This window comes from Homo sapiens, chromosome 12 (assembly GCF_000001405.40).
Source record: "Homo sapiens chromosome 12, GRCh38.p14 Primary Assembly".
NCBI classification, from domain to species: domain Eukaryota; kingdom Metazoa; phylum Chordata; class Mammalia; order Primates; family Hominidae; genus Homo; species Homo sapiens.
Genome location: NC_000012.12, coordinates 93,357,082 through 93,377,422, shown reverse-complemented (window position 1 = coordinate 93,377,422; position 20,341 = coordinate 93,357,082). Strand labels below are relative to the sequence as shown.

At 41.7% G+C, this 20,341-nt stretch overlaps 1 long non-coding RNA gene across 1 annotated transcript in view, besides 2 other annotated features; it reads left to right on the top strand.

Annotated features, from left to right (window-relative positions):
* Positions 1-20,341, top strand: part of LOC643339 (uncharacterized) — a 373,979-nt gene that overhangs the window by 314 nt on the left and 353,324 nt on the right. The window lies entirely within an intron of this gene.
* Positions 6,165-7,128: an enhancer, noted in NCBI's record as "NANOG-H3K27ac-H3K4me1 hESC enhancer chr12:93764071-93765034 (GRCh37/hg19 assembly coordinates)". NCBI's record gives its function as "activates a minimal SCP1, AML or CMV promoter by ChIP-STARR-seq in naive H9 embryonic stem cells {active_cell/tissue: H9 hESC(naive)}" and the evidence as "EXISTENCE:reporter gene assay evidence [ECO:0000049][PMID:30033119]".
* Positions 13,094-13,163: a silencer, noted in NCBI's record as "silent region_4704". NCBI's record gives its function as "represses an Ori minimal core promoter by ATAC-STARR-seq in GM12878 lymphoblastoid cells {active_cell/tissue: GM12878}" and the evidence as "EXISTENCE:reporter gene assay evidence [ECO:0000049][PMID:35858748]".

Below are 20,341 nucleotides of genomic sequence, written 5' to 3'. Positions count from 1 at the left end.
TGTTTTTTTTTTCTTTGTTTTCACAAATGGGGGGTAGGCAAATTTCCTTTTTTTTTTTTTGTATTTAAATTTTTAATCTTTGGTTGGGGATGGCTTGTATTATTTAAAGAGTCAACTCTAGCTTAAACGTTTCTTTGAAGCTGTCTATAACATCCCCCACTTTGTGCCACCTTCCGGAAAGTATTAATACTGGCAATGGCTAATAGTTGCGAAATGGTTTTCATGTGGATCTCATGCTAAGTAACAGCGCAGCTGGATGCTGGGGCCACAGCACTAAAATATAATGGGATTTCTGCTATCTGGGAGCTTACAGTACCTTGGGGACTTGGAACAAACAACCTCTACACTTCAGAGTGTTAGAAGGGCTAAGATAGGAGCCAGGAGGCCTGATCTTAAGGTAGCTCGAGAAACCCAAACTCAGGCCATTCTGCCCTTCCACAGAGGCCCAGGTTGCTTGGGTCCTGACTTGGTTGGTTGGTTTTTCACCCCTTGAGGGCCTATTGTGTGTCAGGCACTGGCATCTAACAAAACCAGTCAGCCCCTGCCTCTCCAGGAGCGTAGGCACCTGAGAGCACACCGTCAAATATTAAATGATCACACGTGTACACGTAAAACTACAAATGTAATGGGCTCTAAGGTTTCAGACAAAGATTTGACCAGATCTGCAGTCAGAAAAAGATTATTGGGGCAGCAAGGCAGGAGCTGAGGGCTGAAGGAGGAGGAGCTAAATTGACCAAGAGCTTTCAAGGCAAAGGGAACTGGGATTTCTGCAGAGCCCAAAGTGGGAGGGAGTGAGGAGAGTTCTCAGAAATGAAAGAAAAGGCCAGTGTGGCTGCAGAGCGGAGGCAAGCTGGTTCCGCCTCTGGCAGAGGGGCCTGTGAGGCCTGACTGAGAGGCTGGGGACCACTGGAGAGCTCAGAGCAGGCACTGGTCTTTCTAGTCTCCAACCTCCTTTAGATTTGGGACTGCTGCATCTAACTCATCTTGTTACTCCCAGAGCCCAGCAGATGTAAGTTTGTAGAATGGGTTAGTGTTGAATAAATAATTTAAGGAATGAGGCTTCACCACAATTAGAAATCTTATCAAGACTGCGCAGAGATGTTTTCCAAGCCATTGATTTCTTATTGAAGGCACTTGAAATTTAACTATGTCCAGGATTTACAAACACAGGCAGAAAACATCTAGCTGGGGAGTCCGCTATGGCTAATATGTGATTATTATTTTTGGATAATTGGTTCACATCAATAAAGTTATTAATCCTGGCTTGGTTGCACAGGCTAGAGTGCAATGGTGCTGTTTCAGCTCACTGCAGCCTCCATTTCCCAGGCTCAAGGGATTCTCCGGCCTCAGCCTCCTGAGTACCTGTAACCACCACAGTTGCATGCCACCATGCCTGGTTAATTTGTGGATTTTTTTAGTAGAGGTGGAGTTTCACCATGTTGCCCAGGCTGGTCTCGAACTCCTGAGCTCAGGCGATCTGCCCACCTCAGCCTCCCAACGTGCTGGGATTACAGGCGTGAGCCACTGCACCCTCCTCACTATGGTCTTTTTTATTTTTTACTTTTATTTGTTTTATTGTGGCCTTTTAAATGACAAAGAGATTCCATTTCCTTTGTTTAAAACCCTTCAAAGTTCTGGTTTCTAGTTGTTGCTCAATAAATACTAGTTGGCTGAATATTTGTTCACTCAAGTCTTTCCCATTTATTAATTACATGAGGGAAGTCATGAATCAGAATTAACTGAGAAAAAAAAGGGAAGATGCTTAGAACCAAATCACGGAAGGGAGGAAAAACAGCAACACCAAGGCAGTGAGTGTGAGCTACTTGCTTCAGCTTCTTGGCCACTGGACTTAGTTTAAAAATCTTGGCTTCAGGTCTCACATGTACCAATTGCGCCCTCTCTCTCTCTCTCTCTCTCTCTCTCTCTCTCTCTCTCTCTATATATATATATATATATATATGAATGTTATATATATTAGTTATATATATATATAAAACTAATTACTACTATTTATATTTGCTTCACCTCTGAGCCTTGTCTTTTCTCACCTCTTAATTGAGTATAATATGATTTATGGTATCTTGCACAAGGCTTAACTAACATACCAGAGTGAGTCTGAAAGTGCTTTGAAACTGTAAAACATTTAGAGAAACATAAGATGTTATTAACAAGGAAATTTCCATTGGAGATCTCTCCTCCCTGTCTTCCTTTTCCTCAAAGCGTGGAAGAGTAATTGAGAGGGCTATGGATTTTAACACTGTGGAGGAAAGGATCTTAGATTCTGCAATGAATTAAACTGAAGAATGCTTTCATAATATAAATAACCACCTCTCTCCCATACTTATTTATTTGGTTGGTTTTTGCAATTATTGGGGAGAGATCTAACAGAAAAGAAAACTTGTCTGACTAAAATGAGAGAATAGGCTGGGCGTGGTGGCTCATGCCTGTAATCTCAGCAATTTGGGAGGCCGAGGCAGGTGGATCACCTCAGGTCAGGAGTTCGAGACCAGCCTGGCCAACATGGTGAAACCCCATCTCTACTAAAAATACAAAAATCAGCTGGGCGTGGGGGCGTGTGCCTGGAATCCCAGGTACTGAGGAGGCTGAAGCAGGAGAATCGCTCGAACCAGGAGCCGGAGGTTGCAGTGAGCCGAGATTGCACCACTGCACTCTAACCTGGGCCACAGAGAGAGACTCCGTCTCAAAATAAATAAATAAATAAATAAATAAATAGCAAAAGGCCAAATTACAATGCTAGGTGTTCATTTTCCTATGTCAGTTCCTCAGCATCAGGGTGCACTGCCCCAGCTCAGAGCTCCCTGCTTAGTATTTAACACATAATATGCATCTGAAACATGCTTAGGCACTTTTCAAAGTTTAGATCATATCTAGCCAGATCACGCTTGAGATAGACACAGGCTTGTTTTTCCTCCTCAGGTCCAGTAAGGACTGGGCTACACTGGCTGGTTCACTTGGGGATCAGAGTCCAATTTCAGATTAATCTTTGTTTAGTTCACTTACCACAATATTGTCTTACCCAGAACTTACTATATACAGAGTTATTTCTTATGCTATTTTCATCTATTTCTAACTTTCAGAAAAGGAAACAGTTTAACATTGGCTGAATAGGATACTTTTCTCCCCCAGGGTGTTTTAACAATGTAGCAGGGTAGCTTGGAGGAGGCAGGATCCTCAGCAATGCAGGTCACTTGTTACTTTCTCTTGTAACTGACTCAGAATGCTACCATACAGTAAGTTCCTTTTCAAGATTAAACTGTGACAATGACAAAAGTCTCTTCCTATATCTTCCTAATGATCATAATGGCTATTTTTTTATTGAGTGTTAGCCAGTGCTGGGTGCTTTGCATGATCTCATTTGACTGATCCCAGCATCAGCCTTATGAGGCAGCTATTTATTGTCCCCATTTACAGACTAAGAAACGGAGCCTTCTTTCTATGTTGCCCAAGTTTTTACCTCCTGCATTGTAATATTACTGTGAGCTTGTCCTGTTGCTTCTATTACATGGTAATTATTAGTTTGTTTGTGTTAAGTACTAACCCAGGAGTTTCTTTAATTTTTAAATGAAAAGGGAACTTTGTTTTTTAAGTGGGGGATCCAGAAGATAAGCTCGTAAGGTGAGAAATGGAAGTAGAAGCCTTAATTACAATTTCATTTAATCTAAAGTGATTTTTTTCTTTTACAAAAGAATGGAGTAAGCAAACTGAAAATTAAAAAGCCTTAAATTAAAAAGCTTTAGGATTAAAAAACTGCACTCCAGCCTGGGCGACAGAGCGAGACTCCGTCTCAAAAAAAAAAAAAAAAATTCAAAAAAGGACTAATCAATCTGACCAGCATTTGCAAAACTTTAAAAGCAGACCTTTTGGTCTGACTGTTTATAAACTTACCTTACATTGAAATAAAGAAATGATTTTCAGATTTGCAACTTATTACCTATTTTCTCAATTCCCATTTACTGCAGAGCATTTGTTTTCCAAGCATCATGTTTATATGCAGCTCTCTGTGGCTAATGAATATGTTTACTGGAAGTACATTTTTTCTTTCCTTCTTTATCATTCAGGGAAAGGTATATGCCAAGTAGTTATCTCCTCGCAAAGGCATGACTTGACATTTTCATAGACTTCTTCAGGCCAGCATTTTGAACTCTTGCATCATCTGGAAATGGTTGTTTTTGCTACATAACAATTTTTTTATTTGAGGGCAAAGGCTAAAAAAGGACAATGTTGCCCATAAGAGACATGTTAATTATCACAATAAATTGACATTGGTTTTTTGGAGGTTTGTTTGTTTGTTTGTTTGTCTGAGACGGAGTTTCACTCTTGTTGCCCAGGCTGGAGTGCAATGGTGCGATCTCAGCTCTCTGCAACCTCCAGCTCCTGGGTTCAAGCGATTCTCCTGCCTCAGCCTCCTGAGTAGCTGGGATTACAGGTGCCCACCACCATGCCTGGCTAATTTATTTTTTATTTTTTTTAGTAGAGATGGGGGTTTCACCATGTTGGCCAGGCTGGTCTCGAACTCCTGACCTCAGGTGATCCACCCACCTCGGCCTCCCAAAGTGTTGAGATTACAAGCGTGAGCCACTACACCCTGCCCTTGTGTGTTTGTTTTTGAGACAGGGTCTCACTCTGTTGCCCAGGCTGGATGGAGCAATAGTCTTGATCATGCCTCACTGCAACCTTTGCCTCCCAGGCTCAAGCGATCCTTCCATCTCAGCCTCCAGGTAGCTGGGACTACAGGCATGCACCAGCATGCCTGGCTAATTTTTGTATTTTTGGTAGAGATGGGGTTTCGCCATGTTGCCCAAGCTGGTCTCAAACTCCTGGGCTCTAGTGGTCCTCCTGCCTCAGCCTCCCAAAGTTCTGGGATTACAGGTGTGAGCCACTATGCCCACCTGGGACCTTGTTTTGATGCAGATTCAAACACACCTTTTTTTTTTTGAGACAGAGTCTCACTGTGTTACCCAGGCTGGAGTGCAATGGCATGATCTCGGCTCACCGCAACCTCTGCCTCCCAGGTTCAAGTGATTCTCCTGCCTCAGCCTCCCAAAGTGCTGGGATTACAGGTGTGAGCCACCACACCCAGCCCCAAACAACAAACTTTCAAACAATTTTTTAATATGACTAATTTTTCCCAATAGGCAAGCAAAGATTTTTAAGAGGACATTTATAAGGACAATTAGGGAATGTGAACACTGAATATGTGATGATATTAAGCATCTATTGTTGCTTTTGGGGCAGTGTGATGATGTTCAAAAAAGGAGTCCTTATCTTTTAAGCATATGTACAAAAATATTTGCAGCTGCAGTACTATGATGGAGAAAAATCTAGGTTGTTGGGGGCAAGGAAAATGAGTAGGAGTGTGAAGGAAGCTAGATTGGCCATTAGTTGATTATTGTCATAGTTGAGATATGGTTGCATTATTTTTATTTTTTATTTTTTTGCATTTTTTGAAATTTTCTATAAGTGTTTAAAATATTAAGTTGTAAGCCATTAGGAAAATTGGGGAGAGGAAGAATGTTTTGTAGACATGGACATGAATCCCCACACTGCTAGAATACAAGTTGTGTTATACTTGTTATATTAGAGCCTGGAATGGCTGTTTAGAAACGTATTTGATCAGAAATAGAAAAGAACAATATAACTTCATTAGTTTGGTTCTGGATATCTGAGTTGACCTCTTTCTCCCTTCTATCTAAAAGCTGAAAGGACAGCCACGCGCAGTGGTTCACGCCTGTAATCCCAGCACTCTGGGAGGCAGAGGCGGGTGGATCACCTGAGGTCAGGAGTTCCAGATCAACCTGGCCAACACGGTGAAACCCATCTCTACTAAAAATACAAAAATTAGCTGGGCCTGGTGGCGGGCGCCTGTAATCCCAGCTACTCGGGAGGCTGAGGCAGGAGAATTGCCTGAACCCAGGAGGTGGAGGTTGCAGTGAGCCGAGATCGTGCCACTGCACTCCAGCCTGGGTGACAGAGGGAGACTCCGTCTCAAAAAAACAAACAAACAACAACAACAAGAACAACAACAACAAAAACCCCCCAAAACTGAAAGGAACATCTTCACTGGCAGGTATAAAAAAAAATCCTAGATTATGTTACAGTCATTTTGTTGCTATGTTGGGCCTGGCCAACCTCAGGAAACAGAAACTCTTTGAACTTCTCCCTCCTTTCACCTGCTCCAAGGTAGGACTGTAATCTTTCTCCACCTTTCCGATTGTGATTCCTAAGACCCTCATTCCAGAGAGGGTTCCGCCCCATACCCTGGGGGAAGGAATGCTAACACTATGAAGATTCCGTAAACACACTGGGTTCAGAGAGCTTCCAGATAGCTGAACACAGGGAGGTTCTTAGAGGGTGGTGTACCCAGAGAGGGCGCGGAAGCTCTGTGCTCCTTCCCTGGGCACTGCTCCCGGCATCTCTTTGTCTGTATCCTTTCTAATATCCTTCATAATAAACCAGTAAACGTAAGTGTTTCCCTGAATTCTGTGATCTGCCCCCAGCAAATTAATCGAACCCAAAGAGAGGGTCATGGAAACCCCAACTTGAAGCTGGTCAGTCAGAAGTTCCAGAGGCCTGACCTTGTGACTGGTGGGGGATGGGGTCCAGCCTTAGGGGCTGAGCCCTCAACTGTGGGATCTCACAGTATCTCTGGGTAGATAACCCCAGAATTGAATTCGAGGACACCCAGCTGGTATCTACTGCAGAATTGGTGGTGAGGAGAAGCCCCAATATTTGGTCACAGAAGTCTTCTGTATTTATGACTGTTGTGTCAGAGCAGAAGAAAAACACAATTTGAGGATTTTCTGAAACATATGTACATTGTTTTTTTGTAGTTTTAAAAAATACTATCACCAGGCACAGTGGCTCACGCCTGTAATTCCAGCACTTTGGGAAGCCGAGGTGGGCGGATCACTTGAGGTCAGGAATTCGAGACCAGTCTGACCAACATGGTGAAACACCTTCTCTACTAAAAATACAAAAATTAGTCAGGTGTGGTGGCAGACAACTGTAGTCCCAGCTGCTCGGGAGGCTGAGGAATGAGAATTGCTTGAACTCGAGAAGTGGAGGTTGCAGTAAGCCAAGATCCAAGATCATACCACTGCACCCCAGCCTGGGTGACAGAGCAAGACTTGGTCTCAAAAAATAAAATAAAATAAAATAAAAATAAAAAATGCTGTAGGTTACTACCAGCAGAAATCCCTCAAAAGGGGTCTCTGAGGGCTGGGCACAGTGGCTCACCCCTGTAACTCCAACACTTGGGAGGCCAGGCAGGTGGAGTGTATTGTTTGAGCCCAGGAATTCAAGACCAGGTGGGACAACATGGTGAAACCCCATCTCTACAAAAAAATACAAAAAATTAGCTTGACATGGTGTCATGTGCCTATAGTCTCAGCTAATTGGGAGGCTGAGGCAGGAGGATCTCTTGAGCCTGGGAAGTCGAGGCTGCAGTGAGCTGTAATTGTGCCACTGCACTCCAGCCTGGGTGACAGAGTGTGACCCTGTCTCAAAAATAAATTCATTAATAAATGATGTTAAAAAATAGTTTTAGTCTGGGCACAGTGGCTCACACCTGTAATGCCAGCACTTTGGGAAGCTGATGGGGGAGGATCACTTGAACCCAGAAGTTTGAGACCAGCCTGGGCAACATGGCCAGATGCTTTTTCAGTAAAAATTAAATAAATAAATAAATAAATAAATAAATAAATAAATAAGGGGCCTCTGAAAGATCATGAACCTTTTGAAATTGTCAATGAAAAGATTCAAACACTGTAACATATTTGAAGAGGTTTATTCTGAGCCAAATATGAGTGACTAAGGCTTAAGACAGCCTCAAGAGGTCCTGAGAACAGGTACCCAAGGTGGTTGGTTGCAGCTTGATTTTATACATTTTAGGGGGACAGATAATCTCTCCTGGATGAAGAAAAGATTTGGAAAGGAAAGGAGATTTTCTACAGAATGTAGATTTTCCCCACAAGAGACAGCTTTGCAGGGCCATTCCAAAATATGTCAAAGAAATGTATTTTGGGGTAAAATACTTGGATTTCTTTAAGGCCTTGCTATTTGTCATGTGATGCTATACTACAGTCAGTATATACAGTCAGGTTGAGATTTGGTATCTTCTACTAGAAGAGTCTGTTTTGTCAGTCTCAAGATCTCTGTTTTAATGTTAATGCTGGTCAGTTGAATTCTAATGGGAGAAATTAAGAGAAACCTAGAAACCTAAGAGGTTTCCTCATACCTTAAAAACAATCTACAAGAGATTCAGGGGGTGATGGGCTCTTGCTTTTCTATTATTTACTTACTCTTATTCACTACTTTTTTTATTTTTCATTTTATGGCAGAAGGAGAAGGAGAAGGGGACAGAAGAAGAGAGGGAGAGAGGAAGGAGAGGGAGAGGGAAAGACAGGGAGAGAAGGAGAGAGGGAGAAAGGAAGAGAGGTAGGAGAGAGGGAGAGGTGAAGGAGAGAGGGAGAAAGGAAGAGAGGTAGGAGAGAGGGAGAGGTGAGGGAGAGAGGTAAGGAAAGGGAGGGAGGGTGAGGGAAGGCAAGAGAAGGTGGGAGTGAGCCAGAGAGAGAGAGAGAGAGCGCGCGCACACAGACTTACTATATTGATAAAATTATATCCAAAGCTTCAAAATTTTTAGGGAATAAGCACAAAAAAACTATTCTTTTTCACATGATAGTAATGCTTGCAACCATATCATACAAATGTAGATTATTGTAGAGTCAAGATATTCCAAAAAATAGTAATATTAACATTCAATTTTACAGTTCAGAGAATAAGAGCAATTTATTTCAAAGACTGGATAAGTTAGTGGGACTGGGTCTCCTGGAACATCACATGAATGTTCATTTCAACACAGATATGATGGGAAACACTATGAGGGACATAACAGAAATAAAGACAGTTATTAACCTCAAGACACTTGCTATCTTTTGGGAAAACAGGAAATAATATAAGGGAGTGCGGCAGTATCAGGTATAGTCTTGAACTGAGTATTGTCAAGTGTCAACTTGCAGCCACGTTCATAGGCTAGTTGAGGGTTCTTGGAAACTGCTCTTCGACAACAATAACACATGTGTGCACACACACATCCCAAGTGAAAGTAGCTTTTTTTTTTTTTTTTGAAACCGGGTCTCGCTTTGTCACCAGGCTGGAGTGCAATGGCGCAATCTTGGCTCACTGCAACCTCTGTCTCCTGGGTTCAAGCGATTCTCCCGCCTCAGCCTCCCGAGTAGCAGGTGTGCGCCACCACGCCCAGCTAATTTTTGTGTTTTTAGTAGAGATGACGTTTCACCATATTGGCCAGGATGGTCTCAATCTCTTGACCTCATGATCCGCCCGCCTCGGCCTCCCAAAGTGTTGGGATTATAGGCGTGAGCCACAGTGCCCAGCCAAAAGTAGCTTTTAATATGACTTTTCCTTTCTATCTTAAAAAGAAAATCAATAATACTTTCAAGTATGATATAGAGTGGACATGTCCTTTTTCTGTTGTATGTTCTCCAAGAGTCTTTTATATTATAGGTTTATAGAAAAGTCATATTATTTACAAAGGGAGACCTACATACAGAAATGCATTTTATATAAGGCTCAGCTTGAAAAAATTATCTATATAATTTTTTTAAATTTTTATTTATTTATTCATTTATTTATATTTTTTGAGATAGGGTCTCACTCTGTTGCCCAGGCTGGAGTACAGTAGTGTGATCACAGCTCACTGCAGTCTCAACCTCGTGGGCTCTATCCATCCTCCCACCTAAGCCTCCCAAGTAACTGGGATTACAGACCCACACCATCATGCCTGGCTAATTTTTGTATTTTTTGTAGAAACAGGGTTTTGTCATGTTGCCCAGGCTGGTATCAAACTCCTGGGCTCAAGCAGTCCTCCTGTCTTGGCCTCCCAAAGTGCTGGGATTACAGGTATGAGCCACCACATCCAGCCCTTTGTATTTTTAGTCATTTTTAAAGAAGCATTGTTCTGGTTGGGTGCGGTGGCTCACGTCTGTAATCCCAGCACTTTGGGAGGCCGAGGAGGGTGGATCACGAGGTCAGGAGATTGAGACCATCCTGGCTAACACGGTGAAACACCGTCTCTACTAAAAATACAAAAAATTAGTCGGGCGTGGTGGCGCATGCCTGTAGTCCCAGCTATTTGGGGCACTGAGGCAGGAGAATTTCTTGAACCCAGGAGGCTGCAGTGAGCCAACATCATGCCACTGGGTGACAGAGCAAGATTCTGTCTCAAAAAAAAAAAAAAAGGCCAAGCGCAGTGGGTGACGCCTCTAATCCCAGCACTTTGGGAGGCTGAGGCGGGTGGATCACCTGAGGTCAGGATTTTGAGACCAGCCTGGCCGACGTGGCGAAACCCCGTATCTACTAAAAAAAAATACAAAAATTACGTGGGTGTGGAGGCACGCGCCTGTAGTCCCAGCTACTTGGGAGGCTGAGGCAGAAGAATTGCTTGAACCCAGGAGGCGAAGTTTGCAGTGAGCCGAGATGGTGCCACTGCACTCCAGCCTGGGTGACAGAGTGAGACTCTGTGTCAGATAAAATGAAATAAATTAAAAATTAAAAAATCCAAATCTGGTAAAAACTTGGAGGTACTTTAAGATAGACTACTTTGATATGTGCTTAAAGAAATACTCAGGGTTTATGGCAGGTTTGAAAAACTGAAGTATAAAACTTCCCTGAGATATCCAATAGCAGAGACACAACCCATGTCTCTACGGACTCTCTGCCAATGCCATCTGTCAAAGCCACGGTGACAGTTTAATGTGTCAGAGGAACACACCCTGGGCCAAAAAGATGAGACACCTGGGTTCTGGTGGCAATGCCTTCAGTCTCTTCATCGGTTTTCTTCTCTTTGAAGAAAATGGAAGTAGCAACATCTGGCCTACCCATCTCTCAGGGTGTTGTGAAGACACACTGTGATAAATAATGGGAAACATATTGGGCAAAACGTAGAATGAATCAAAATTTTTAGATAACTTTCTAAGAAAAGAATTGATTTAAATGAAAATCAAATGTAATATAATAATGCAGCATTCTATCTTCCCCAGATTGCTACAAAAGTTCAGGGACATGGGGCTTTAGGAAGACTATAAGTTCTACATCCCTTTAAAAGAATTCTCACAGCAGCGATTCCAGCCGTGTGAATTCTGTGAAATAACATCTGGCTGCCCACTCTAATGCTGGCAAAGTCTAAATAGCATAGAAAAAGAGGAACGATTTGGTGAAAAGACACTTAGAGTAGGCAGGAGATTACCGTTAGCAAATGGTTGTTTAAATTCTTTGTTTAAGCAAGTGTTCTGCCTAGAATTTAAGGATTTGTGGTAAGCTTACCAGAATCCAGTCACCATCAAAGGCAATGATGGCAGAGGAACTCTGCCAGGCACCACGTTAAGAGCCTGAGTTCTTCACCTCACGACATTTGCCATGTTTTTTCTCTTACCCCCAACATCATGTCTTTATACCACCTCTTGTATATTTATTCTCCTATTCAAGACTCCTTTCTTTCCTAAAGCCTTCCTAGAACAAGTCCAACCTTCACATCAGCATGTGTTTAAGAAATATATTATTCTTGGGAAAATTTCAGGGTATTTCCTGCTTTTGTCCATAATTCAGTGATATTGTACCTGTTTTTCTTGGCTGAAGGAAACCAATGACTAAAATACTTTTAAACTACTGCTGCCTATACCTTCTTTAAAGAGGTCTTATTTTCTCATTGCTGGTAGTGAGAGCTTTTAAAAGGTCGAAATCCATATTATTATTCCAAAATATGTTTAGTTAAAAACTAAATGCCTAGTAGTAGAAAAATGGTCATATAAGTAGGCCGGGCATGGTGGCTTACGCCTGTAATCCCAGCACTTTGGGAGGCCGAGGCAGGCGGATCACAAGGTCAGGAGATTGAGACCATCCTGGCTAACATGGTGAAACCCCGTCTCTACTAAAAATATAAAAAATTAGCCGGGCATGGTGGCGGGCGCCTGTGGTCCCAGCTACTCAGGAGGCTGAGGCAGGAGAATGGCATGAACCCAGGAGGCGGACCTTGCAGTGAGCCAAGATCATGCCACTGCACTCCAGCCTGGGCGACAGAGCAAGACTCTGTCTCAAAAAAAAAAAAAAAAAGAAAAGAAAAAAGAAAAATGGTTATATAAATTACAATATATACACTTCAAGGAGTTCTATGTAGCTATAAATAACAATGCTTACATAGTTTCTAAAAGCAAGGCAAGAGCTTGTTACAAAGTTAGATTTCTAAGTATTAAAGGTTGTATCACCTGGAGCAACGTGGCCAAACCCAAAACCCATCTCTAAAAAAACATACAAAAATTATGTGGGCATGGTGGCATATGCCTGTAGTCCCAGCTACTCTGGAGGCTGACGTGGGAGGATCCCTTGAACCCAGGAGGCAGTGAGCCTGGTTGTGCCACTGCACTCCAGCCTGAGTGACAGAGTGAGTGAGATTCTGTCTCAAAAAAAAAAAAAAAAAAAAAAGTTGTGAATACAATACAGTCCCAACTATATAAAGATCTTAATAGCAGAATTGACAAAATAGTTAATAATTTTTATTTTTGGGTTAACTATAGATTTTTTTCCTTATGCTTTCCTGTATTTCTCAAAATCATGTCATGTGCATGTTCATTTGTATTAGAATATCGTCTGTGTGTGTGTGTGTTCAGCCAGACATTAAGTAAATTGCTTTCAGATTGGTTAATAAGAATAAAAACAGTCAGGCGTGGTGGCTTGCGCCAGTAATCCCAGCACTTTGGGAGGCCAAGGCAGGCAGATTATTTGAACTCAGGAGTTCGAAACCAGCCTGGGTAACATGGCAAAACCCCATCTCTTCAAAAAAAAAAAATTAGCTGGGTGTTGTGGTGTGCACTTATAGTCCCAACTGCTTGGGAGGCTGAGGCTGGAGGACTGCTTGACCCTGGGAGGTCAGGGCTACAGTGTGCCATGATCACGCCACTACACTCTAGTCCCGGCACCTGAGCAAGACCCTGTCTCAGAAAAAAAAAAAAAAAAAAGGAAAGAATAAAAACACGTAAAATCTCAATAATAATGATAAAAAATATATAATATTCTGTGAGGAACTGGTGTAGAACGAATGAGTTCACTCCAGACCACTCAAGTTTAAGTTAAACCAGAGCTCAGCCTATTAGTCTACAAAGTAGGAAGTGGTGAGGTGACTCTAGCTTTGTGGTTAACTTCATTTAACCTCAGCCACTATAGACATAGATCCCTTGAAAGCCCCCCACGATTGGCCCACCCCTTCATCCTTCACTATCTCTTCCCTTTCCCACTTCCTATTCTACTTCTACAGTTCCTTGATGGCCTAAATCAATGGACAGAAAGGGAGGGGAAAAAAAAATGAGGCAGGTCAAACTTAAAGGCGTAGGAAAGATTCTCTTTTCCTTACTTCTATCTCTGCAGGCAGGAGAGGTCTTTTGGACAAGTTCTGAGAAATAGAACTATTTCATGTGGCTGGGAACTCAACTACCTTAGCCAATGGAGCTTGTGACCCAGTTGTGGGAGTGGAGTTGAGTTCTCTTTTATTTCTTTAAGTGATTTTTAAAAATGCACTGGAGCATGTGACCATTTCTTTTTTCTTTTTTTTTTCTGAACAACTAAAATTTTATGATAATGATTAATATCACCTCTAATATTTTGGGAACCTGATCAAGGCCTGAAGCAGTTTTTCTGGCCTAGGATTGTTGTACTATCACATTCAATACAGGTTTATTGATGAAGGCTAGCTAGGGACACAGGGCACATTTGGAGGTCCTCATAAAATCTCTATTAGCTCCTAAAGGACACTCTGAATTTTTTTTAAATGACATTTTGTGATGTAAACAATAATTTCTCAATCTTATTTAAAATGTTGGGGAGGAAAACTGTCTCTAGCCTTTGCCGTTTATTTTGTAACATACAATTTGTGCCATTATAAGACAGGCCCCCTAAGTACTACTTGCAGAGAAGGAAAATAAATATTTGCAAGCTTGGAAAGAACAACAATAACAGATGCATGTCCAGGGTATAACTCTTCCCGGGGCTCCACAAAGGCTGGCAGATGAGGTCTTGACATAAGTTTCTAGGCAAGATGGGGAAAGAAGGAGACGGACCCAAGCAGAAAAGATCATGTTCAAAGGCATCACTGTGTGAAAGAGAACCTTCAGGAAAATGCAGGCTGCTTAATTGAAAATAGGTGAAGACAAGCTAGAGAAGCAGGCTTCAGCTACATCACAGGCTAAGGAATTTGACTCTATTGTAGACCAAGAGTATCAAAGTGACCTCAGAAAGTTTTCCCAGGCCAGTGCAGCTGTTTTAAAATAATTTTTGATTTGAATAACTTCAGGTAGGACAGATCTTCTCCAGGTCCATACAACTTCCTTCTTGGCCATATTAAACCCCATGGCTTCACACATTTGAGTGCCTGGTAGTGAAGGCATTTGAGATCTTCTCAAGAATATGCTAGGTAGATAATGGAGAACTGTGGAAAGACTGGCATAGGCCAGAGGCATGATCAGATTTGCAGTGTAGACAGATCATTCAGGCAGTGAGGTGGAAATTAGATTTTGTGACAGTTGGCAGCACAACAAGAAGGAAGGGCTAGTCAGAAAGATATTAGGATGATAGTGTCCTAACTAGGAACTGGAACTAATCATATGTGGAAGATGAAGAAGGAGGAGGTCTAAAGGGCTTCTAAGTTCTCGCTCTTGTAAAGGGGTCACTGGTTATTATACACCCAGCAGCCTGTGTTATACACTGGTTGTTATACGTCTTTGCAAAAGACATAGCAGGTTGGAGGCAAGGAAGGGATGTTGAGTTCAGTTCAGGGATGTTAGACCAGGTAATTGTGATGGCCCTGTGGGACGTTTTTGTCTAGCTATCCAGTAGACTAGAGATACAGATCCGTGGACATATGTCTTCCTCTCTGCACCAGATCCAGGCCAGGTTGTTGGAGGTGAGTTTCTTTTGGCACTGTTCATCCATTAGTTTCTTTGGCTATATCCCAAGGGAAAACTAGATTTCAGTTCTCACTTATTCCCACCTACTTCAGTTCTCAATTTGTATCCATCCTGCAGGAGTTTATTATTATTATTATTATTATTATTATTATTATTATTATTATTTTGAGATGAAGTCTCGCTCTGTCACCTAGGCTGGAGTGCAGTGGCACGATCTTGGCTCACTGCAACCTCTGCCTCCCGGGTTCAAACTATTCTTCCACCTCAGCCTCCCGAGTAGCTGGGATTACAGGCCCACGCCACCATGACTGGCTAATTTTTGTATTTTTAGTAGAGATGGGGTTTTGCCATGTTGCCCAGGCTGGTCTCAAACTTCTGACCTCAAGTGATCCGCCCACCTTGGCCCCCCAAAGTGCTGGTATAACAGATGTGAGCCACGATGCTGGGCTGCATCCTGCAGGAGTTTAGAGAAGTGTAATGACGTTTCATCTGCTTTTTACTATTCCTCCTCTCTCCCATCCTTCAACCAACTGCCCATAGTTGTTTGCACTATTATTGTCAGGAGGTAATTGTGCCTGCATCGTTAACCACCCAGCAGCCTGTGCTGAGATCTGTGGGCTGCATGTGAACATGAGCTGCCATCAGCATGAGGTGGCAGACACCCAGTCTTGGCTGTGAGCACACCTGGCACAGAAGGCTTCTCTGTCACATGAAGACCAGCTGACTTATCTGTAATAAGCCTGCTGGAGGTGGTGGAGCTCAGACCAGGCTGCTTGTGGGTTTGGAACTAATGGCAAAACCATTCTTAGAAGCTTGGCAGGACACATGCAAAGAAACAGCTACTTCTCAGCCCATAAAGTATTTGCATTACCTTCAGGAATTTGAAGCTTTTTACTCTGGACCTGAGAGGGGTTTGGGCACCAGAAATAAAATCTACTTCAAGCATGCCTCCAAATGATAAAATTCTTGATTTAATTTTGGCATTTTGAGCTGTTTGAAAGAGTAAAACAAATGGCCGGAAGTGCCTATGGTGAAAGACCTCCACAAGGGGTGGGACGCCATTGGTATCCTTCCAAGGAATTTCAAGCAAGTCGGTGATGCACTGGGTAATCTTCACAGTACCCTTTAATGCGGTGTTAGGAAATATTCAGATTAAGAGCAAGAGAGGCTCACTGAAACACATTTGGATACATTTGCATTTTGTGTTTAATTGTTATGATTAAATTATTACAACATTTGTTGAGACAAGTGGGGAAAAAAAAGAGTTTAAAAATGCCCATAATCCCACTACCTCTAAATCCTTTCTGCTATAGTTTAAATGTGTTCCCCAAAGTCCACGGGTTAGAAACTTGATGGTGATGGGGCCTAATGGAGGAATTTAGTCATGGGGGTGGATCCATCACAAACAGATTAAAGCCATTATTACATTATTGCATGAGTGGGTCCCTTATAAAAGGATGAGTTTGGTCTCCTCTTGCTGTCTTGCTCATTCTCCCTCTCTCTCCCCACACCCGTTCTCTATCACTTTTCTGCCATGTGATGCCTTTTGCTGTGTTATGATGCAGCAAAAAGGTCTTTGCCAGATACTGGCAGAACTGTGAGCCAATACATTTCTGTTTATTGTAAATTACCCAGTCTGTGATATTCTGTTATAGTAGCACAGAATGGACTAAGACAGTCTCCAAATCCTTTTCTGTCTGTACAAATAGAAACCGTTGTTTTTATTATAAACTTAAGATCATGTTGTACATTTGAGGATTTTGTTTCTTATTAAAATTGAGGTATCACTCACATGAAATGAAATATATAGATGCTAACTGACCATTTTGATGAATTCTGACAAATGTCCACCTACTCTGTGCTTCCCACCCCCCCACAAGCCATATGGCAAGAATATCATCTTAGAGCATTTCCATCACTCCAGAAAGTTCCTTTACTTCTTTCCAAATCAGCCTCTGCTCTACCCAGTTTCCCTGCACCATTGTTTAGATTTCTATCACTGCAGATTGGCTTTGCCTGATCTTGACCTTCATATAAATAGAAACATACAGTTACATAGAGTTTTGTAATCTGTTTTTTAAATCTAGTAACCTATGTGAACAGTTCCCATTTCAATAATATTTATCCACAGCATCACTTTCAATGGAAAAATAATACTGCTTTTGATGCATGCACTGTACCACATTTGTTTATTTAACCAATTCCTATTGATGGAAATTCTGATTTCCTTTATTCTCTCCCTCCCCCTCTAACCTTCCTTCCTTCCATCTTATTACAAATAACCCTGTTATTAATATCATTATAGGTAAGCCTTTGCACATAAAGCTTAATTGTTTTTGTAGTTTACATTCGTAGAAGTGAAATTGCTATGTCCAAAAAATGCACTTTTTTTTTTCCTTTGAGATGGAATTTCACTCTGTCACCCAGGCTGGAGTGCAGTGATCTCGGCTCATTGCAACCTCCATTTCCTGGGTTCAAGCGATTCTCCTGCCTCGGCCTCCGGAGTAGCTGAGATTAGAGGCACGTGCCACCACACCTGGCTAAGGCTAATTTTTGTATTTTCAGTAGAGACAGGGTTTCACCTTGTTGGCCAGGCTGGTCTCGAACTCCTGACCTCAGGTGATCTATCCACCTCAGCCTCCCAAAGTGCTGGGATTACAGGTGTGAGCCACTGCACCCAGCCAAAAATGCACTTTTTAAGGGATTTTGCTAAATGACCTCTAGAAAGACTGCCTTAGTTTATTTCTTAATATTATCAAAACACCATATAAGCTTGTTTTCTCACACCATGACCAACATTGCGAATTGGGGTGGGGTGGGGGGAGTCTTTGATCTCAGTCAATTTCATTGTTTATAACATGGTATCTCATTTTAATCTGTTATCACTCAGGTTATTAATGAAGTTGTACATTTTTTCTTCTGAGGAAAATTTTATTTTCTCATTTTACAGTGGAAAAAATGGTCTTTTATTTAAAAAAAACAAACTTACCAAATGATCAATAAACTGTTCATGGAAAAAAACTGATCCTATTAAGGATAGGAGGATAAAAAATAAACAATGTAAAAAACCACAAGCTGAACTTTCTGTCTCTGTTATTTTTAGCCAATGGCCTTATTGTATAATCTTGATTTTTGAATAGTGTTTGTTTTTTAGGCAATGCTTTTATTTTCAATTACTTCTAGAAAGGTTTTGCTTTTGCTTTAGGGGAAAAGTAAATTCAGTTTTGGATGACCAGGTTTTTAAATAAAAATGCATCCACTGAAGACATCTTTAAAATAAACATATCTTTGATATTTTAAGAAAGATTAAAGGAGAGCTGAATAGCCAGTGTCCAAGCAGCCACTTGCTTTTGGCCTTGTAGTCCAGCAACAAAGTTACTAAGTAAGGTTTGAAAACATTCCAGTCTTTTGTGTCAAATCCTTGGCTAGGCTGATACCATCTTCCTAGTACATGGTCATTTAATTTCAAACTGTAGTTATCATCAACAACATGTATACATACAATGAGGTCTATATTGTGTAACTTTTTTTTTTTTTTTTTAAGATGGAATCTCTGTCGCCCAGGCTGGAGTGCAGTGGCACCATCTCGGCTCACTGCAAGCTCTGCCTCCCGGGTTCACCCCATTCTCCTGCCTCAGCCTCCCAACTAGCTGGGACTACAGGCACCCGCCACCACGCCTGGCTAATTTTTTGTATTTTTAGTAGAGATGGGGTTTCACCGTGTTAGCCAGGATAGTCTCGATCTCCTGACCTCATGATCCGCCTGCCTCGGCCTCCCAAAGTGCTGGGATTACAAGCATGAGCCACCGCACCCAGCCATTGTCTAACATTTTTAAGAGAATCGTTGGTGTTTTAGTTGTAGCTCAGTTGAACTTGAGATAGCTCAGTTCCTTATTTGTAGAATTGTGGGCATTGATTAAATACCTCAAAGGTCCCTTTGAGACCTAAAACTCTTAAGATTTAAAAATTTATAATTGTTCTAGTAAATGTTAGTAATATGTTTATTATAATAGAAGTTAGTAAAAAGGAGAGAGCACTTTGATGAGTTCTTCTTTCGAATGTCCATAGAGCCATTTAGAGATTCCATAAGCATGTAGGCCGTAGGGTAGAATTCAGGTTCAGGAGTTATAGACAGTTCAGGGTCTGAAACCCAGCTTCACTACTTACTGTGTGGCCTTTAGCTAGTTATTTAACCTTTCAGTTTCTGTTTGCTCATTTGTAAAGTGGAGATTTGCAAACACTGTCTATTTTGTAGGGTTATTGTAAAAAATTAACATAAAGCACTGAAATAATTGCCTGAAACATAGGAAATACCCAATATGTAGTAGCTGCTATTATTGTTGTTATCAACAACACAATCAGGAATATATAGAATCAGTCCGGGCACGGTGGTTTACACCTGTAATCCCAGCACTTTGGGAGGCCGAGGCAGGCAGATCACTTGAGGTCAGGAGTTTGAGACCAGCCTGGCCAATATGATGAAACCCTGTCTTTACTAAAAATACAAAAATTAGCCAGGCATGGTGGTGGGTGCCAGTAATCTCAGCTACTCATGAGGCTGAGGCAGAGAATTGCTTGAACCCAGGAGGTAGAGGTTGCAGTGAGCCAAGATCGCGCCACTGCACTCCAGCCTGGGCGACAGAGTGAGACTCCGTCTCAAAAAAAGAAAAAAGAAAACTGGTTCTAAGAGAGAAAAATCTCTCTCAGAAGAGCTAATGAATGAGTAAATGGGGATTTAATATCATCCAACCTAGACATTAAGATTCAGACTTTAAAAATAGCCTCACAGGCCCAGCACAATGGCTCATGCCTGTAATCCCAGCATTTTGGGAGGCCATGTCAGGCAGATCTCTTGAGTCCAGGAGTTCAAGTCCAACTTAGGAAACGTAGGGAAACTCCATCTCTTAAAAAAAAAAAGAAGCCTCATAGCTGTTATTGAGATCATTTTACTCTGGAGTATTGTATTCAACAGTCTTAGTATAAATGACTACAATGTACATATAGTGTTTCCACTGACTGCATTTTATTTTGTGTGGATTTTATTAGTAGAACTTGTGTTGGCTCATTGGAATCTGTGGAAAATACGAAAACTGTAGCAGCACAACTGACTTTACTGACTTTTTTTGGTAAAATGAATATTCCAAGATCCTGGTATATAACTTTATGTGTGCTTGTAACTAATATGGCCTTGCTAGATGTATAACTAGTAAAAGAAAGAAAAGTGACTGCTAGTCTTCTAAAATAATAATTCTTAAGATTCCTCCCTGATGGTCTAGTGGCTAGGAACCCCCTCCCCCAACAAAAAAAAAAGGCTGGGCATGTGTATATATATATGCCTGACAACTAGGAAA